At 42.1% G+C, this 5,137-nt stretch overlaps 2 annotated features.

Annotated features, from left to right (window-relative positions):
* Positions 2,757 to 2,967: a silencer, noted in NCBI's record as "fragment chr3:39388913-39389123 (GRCh37/hg19 assembly coordinates)". NCBI's record gives its function as "represses an EF-1alpha promoter that drives an FKBP-Casp9 reporter gene in an ReSE screen in HepG2 liver carcinoma cells {active_cell/tissue: HepG2}" and the evidence as "EXISTENCE:reporter gene assay evidence [ECO:0000049][PMID:32094911]".
* Positions 3,550 to 3,599: an enhancer, noted in NCBI's record as "active region_19702". NCBI's record gives its function as "activates an Ori minimal core promoter by ATAC-STARR-seq in GM12878 lymphoblastoid cells {active_cell/tissue: GM12878}" and the evidence as "EXISTENCE:reporter gene assay evidence [ECO:0000049][PMID:35858748]".

Genomic DNA, 5,137 nt, shown 5'->3' with positions numbered 1-5,137 from the left:
TACATTTACTTATCCGGAGATGGTCCTCTTAGCTTTGGCTGTGCGTAGACTAGTCAGCTTCCGGGATGTGACTAGAGCAGATCTTGCAGGATCCTCAAGCTTTAGCCATGTGTAGACTGACCAGCTTCCGGTGTGGTCAGAGCAGGGCAGTTGTCCTTCTTACTGGTGGTTGGGTTTTGCCATAGGACTATTCAGATGGGGTGATCTGGGTCTTGTTGGTTAATCCACTGGTCATCATCAGGAGTTACTGCTGCCGCTGGTTTCAGCTGGCTATGGTGAATCCAAGGTGTGAGACCTGCAACTTTAACAGCAGTGGGAGTAGACATGATTACAATATGGGGCCTATCCTGTATGGGTTCTAGAGTGGTTGGATTCCATTTTTTAACTTAAACAAAGTCCTTAGCTTTGAAAGGGTGTACCGGGTCTGTTAGACTTATAGGCATTCTTTTTCATACCTAGCCATGCATCTTTTACATGGCCATACTTAAAGCCTGCATTTGCCTTTTTAAAGTTAGTTCTCTTAGTTTACAGAGATTACCTTTAATCTGACCTATGATGGGGGGTGGCCGGCCGAACAAAATCTCATAGGGCGAATACCCAGTTTGTTTGGTGGGGGTGCACCTGACTTGGAGGAGGACCATGGGCAAGACCTGATCCTACTTTAGATGAGTTTCTTGACAAAATTTCTTCAGCAGCTGTTTGAGTGTTCAGTTCATGCATCCCACTTTACCTGAGCTCTGTGGCCTGTAGGTTGTATGTAATTTCCATTTTATTTTTAGTAGTCGAGTTAAGTCTTGAACTATTTCAGCCACAAGTGTTGGTTCATTGTCTGATCTTAGAGTTAGAGGCAGTCCAAATCTGGGAATAATGTCTCTTAACACCTCGGTTACCTCTAGTGCCTTCTCTGTCCAGGTGGGGAAGGCCATGACCTACCCTGAAAAGGTGCAAATGAACACCAACATGTACTGATAGCCTCCCTCTCAGGGCAATTCGGTGAAGTCCATAAGCAGTTTTTCACAGGGCATGGCTTTTGTTTTCTGATCTCCCGGGGGCCAGGTAGGCCTTTGTCGTGGATTGTTCTGAGTGCAAGTTAAACACTGCTTGTTTACAAATGGCTTGAGTAATGGCAGTGAGCCATGGCATATAGAAGTGATGCCTTAATAATGTCTTTAGTGCTGTTTTTCTCCATGTGAGTTCCTTGGTGGAACTCTTTTACAAATCTGGGGGCCACCATTTCAGGTATGGCTAGCCTCCCATTGGAGAATTTTTACTATCCTTTTTCAATGTAGTTTTTATTTTTCTGGGCAAATTAAGCCCTTTCATTTGGAGTAGCTCAGGATCTCCAGGAGGGGAATCTCTGGGAGGAGAGGCATAGCTAAGGCTTTCTTTTTAGAAGGTGGAGTTGTCATTGCAGCCTGCTTTGCCTCTTTGTCTGCCTTTCTATTTTTTTAGCCTTTAGTGTTCTTGCTTTTTGGTGCCCTTTGCAGTGCATCACTGCCACCTCTTTTGGGGCCTATACAGCATTTAAGAGCCATAGAATTTCTTCCTTGTACTTTATTTTTTTACTTTCAGCAGTTAAAAGTCTTTTCTCTTTGTAAATAGCCTCATGAACACGCAAAGTGGCAGAAATATATTTGGAATCTGTGTAAATATTTGTCTTTTGGTCTTTTGCTAGCCAGAGACTTCTTGTGAGAGCTATTACCTCTGCTTTTTTTTTTTTTTTTTTTTTTTTTTTTGAGATGGAGTCTCTCTCTGTCACCCAGGCTGGAGTGCAGTGGTGCCATCTCGGCTCACTGCAAGCTCCACCTCCCGGGTTCACACCATTCTCCTGCCTCAGCCTCCCGAGTAGCTGGGACTACAGGTGCCCGCCACCATGCCCAGCTAATTTTTTGTATTTTTAGTAGAGATGGGGTTTCACCATGTTAGCCAGGATGGTCTTGATCTTCTGACCTCGTGATCCACCTGCCTTGGCCTCCCAAAGTGCTGGGATTACAGGCATGAGCCACCATGCCCAGCCGCCTGTTTTTTTTTTTTTTTTTTTTTTTAATCTGGTATATGATCATACCTTACTGTTTCTTTGTATACCTTGTTATTTTTTGTTGGGAATTTGACCTTTCAGATTATGTGTAATATCAATTCTGGGTACCAGTTTCTCCACCCCCAGAGCTTGCTATTGCTATTTGTTTATTTATCAGTTTATTGGCTGGCTGGATTATTCTAGTAAAGTTTAAACACTCTCCCCCAACCCCCACAGTGCTAATGAAGCCTCTGACATTGCTCCTCAGAAAGACAGTTTTGGGTATGCCTACAGTTATCCTGGGATGACAGTGATATTGGTAAAGGCCACTTCTCTTTCTCTGACCACACCTAGATGTTAAATCTTCACTAATTGCCTGCTGATTGCTCCACTGTTTTCAACAATGTCCTGGGGCAAAAATAGCTTTATAATCTAAACCAAAGAAATTGTATTTCCTTTGAAAGAATAGTTTCTGAAGTCAGTGTTTGATATTTATTCTGCTCCTGGACAAGCTCCTGTCAGCTGCCTTTTCCCCTAGCTCTTTCTGAAGCAGCCTCGTTGTCTGAGATAACACCCGAGATTCTTTGTCTCATGGCCATGGAGATCAAGAACACAGACACACGCAGGGTGAGGTTAGAGCAGAAATTTAATAGGTGAAAGGAAAAGAACAGCTCTCTGCTACAGAGAGGAGTCACATATGGGTTGCCATACTGCAGTAAAACATAAGGTGTTTCATAAATGAGCTAGTGGGGAGGGGGTATCTTATCTATGTAGAGCACAAAAAACTGGTTGGGATCAGGTGTGCCATCTGCATAGAGCAGAATCTCTGGCAGCCCCCATCCCACTCTTTTGTCATGCAGGTGGGTTCTTAGCTTGGGCTCCTCCTATGCTGGGTATCTCCTTCCCACTCTGCATGAGTTAAAAAGAGGAGGGGAATTTCCATGCCTGGTCCTAGGTACCTCTTTGCAGCTGCAGGCATCCCCCCACCCCCATGCAAGCTTCCAGCTTTCTTATCTTAGTTTGACCCCAAAAAAGGGAAAGGAAAGTGCTCATTAAGACCCACTCTTTTTACTGGGACTCATCATATGTATGTGAAGTTTGGCGATTACCCAGAAAGCACTCCCTCTGTGCAGGAGTTGATTATCTAGGTTTTACAGCCTCATCTTCCAGACTCCAGCTGCATGACTCCTAAACCATAATTTCTAATCTTGTGGCTAATTTGTTAGTCCTACAAAGGCAGTCTAGTCCCCAGGCAAGAAGGAGATTTGTTTTGGGAAAGGACTGTTATCATCTTTGTTTTAAACTATAAACTATAAACTAACTTCCTCCCAAAGTTAGTTCAGCCCACGTCCAGGAAGGAACAAGGACAGCTTAAAGGTTAAAAGCAAGGTGAAGTCAGTTAGGTTAGATCTCTTTCACTATCTCAGTCATAATTTTGCAAAGGCAGTTTCAGAAGCTGTGGGGAGAAGGAGACCTGTGCTTTTTTAGGTGTAGCAGTCTAGAGTGGAGTCTCCACCATATTGAGCTGGGGTGGTGGGGTCTTAACTACCATAGACTTTTGCTTTCTTTTATCAAATTTTTACAGGTTTTCTTGAATAGATGTTTCTTCATTTGTTCTTTGTTGTTGGAACCATTTCCAGAGACTTTAAATGACTACTTTTTTTTGGTCATTTTCACCAGTTTCATTGGGAAGCAGGTCAGCAAAGCTCCTTATGGTGTCATGAAAGAAGTCAATCTCTTTCTTATAATGTTTTGCAAATTACAGTTCTCTAGCCAAAGAAATCACTTCTTTATGCCATATCTAATGGCATCAAGTTCAAGAGTGCAACATCTAAAAACATGCTTGGGCATTAGTTTTCATGGAATGACTTTAAGCCATTGACTCAGTAAGGATGCTGTTGAATGAAAATTACAAAATAACCTTCTTTTTTATGAGCTTTTCTTATAAGTGACTTAAACAACAGTTGTATAAAACTTTTAAAATTGTGAAATATGCACACATTCAGAAAAGCACACAAAATAACAGTATATTGCTCAGTTAACACCTGTGTAACCACTACTCAGATCAATCAACAAAATATTGCCAGTATCCCAGAAGCTTCCAGTTCCCTGATTCAGCTACTACCTCATTCTTTCCCTGCCCCACCTACTCCCACCCAAATACCCAGTATCCTGACTTCTGCAGTGATCCTGTCCTTGCTTTTGTTTATAGTTCATCACCACATAAGCATGCATTTTTAAACATTATAGTTTAGTTGCCCACCTTTTAAACTTCATATAAATGAAATCATATAATATGTTTCTTTTTGTGTCTGGCTTCTTATGGTAAACATCTTATTTGTCAGATGCATTCATGATTTTTTGTGTAGGTGCAATTTTTTATTTTTTATTTTATTATTTCTTTATTCATTCAGCTCACTGCAGCCTCCACCTCCTAGGTTCAAGCAATCCTCCTACATCAGCCTCCTGAGTAGCTGGGATTGCAGGTGCATGCTCCACCATACCTGGCTAATTTTTGTATTTTTAGTAGAGATGGGGTTTTGCCATGTTGGCCAGGCTGGTCTCAAACTCCTGACCTCAAGTGATCTGACTGCCTTGGCCTCCCAAAGTGCTGGGATTACAGGTGTGAGCCACTGCAACCAGCCTATTTTTTATTTTCTAGAGACAGGGTGTCATTATATTGCCCAAGCTGGTCTCAAATTCCTGGCCTCAAGTTATCCTCCTGCTTTGGCCTCCCAAAGTGCTAGGATTATGGGCATAAGCCACCATTCCCAGGCCATAACTGTGATTTTTAAATAGCTATTTCTATCTATTGTTATTTCAGAAATTGTTATTTCTGATTGAAGTTAGCCTTCCTACTATTGATGTGATATTGATAGATATTATTTCCATTTTGGGGCTTACATTAGTTTTCTATGGATGCTGTAACAAAGTACCACATATCAGGTGACTTAGAACAATAGAAATGTATTGTTTCAAAGTTCTAGAGGCTAGAAGTCTGAAGTCAAGGTATTAGCAGGACCACATTCTCTCTGAAGCCTGTAGGGGAATCTTTCCTTGACTCTTCCTAGCTTCTGGTGGTTTGCTGGCAATGCTTGGTGTTCCTTGGCTGCCAGCTGC

The sequence above is a fragment of the Homo sapiens genome, chromosome 3, assembly GCF_000001405.40.
Source record: "Homo sapiens chromosome 3, GRCh38.p14 Primary Assembly".
NCBI classification, from domain to species: domain Eukaryota; kingdom Metazoa; phylum Chordata; class Mammalia; order Primates; family Hominidae; genus Homo; species Homo sapiens.
Note: the sequence above shows the minus strand (reverse complement) of the source record. Positions and strands in the feature narration are given on the sequence as shown.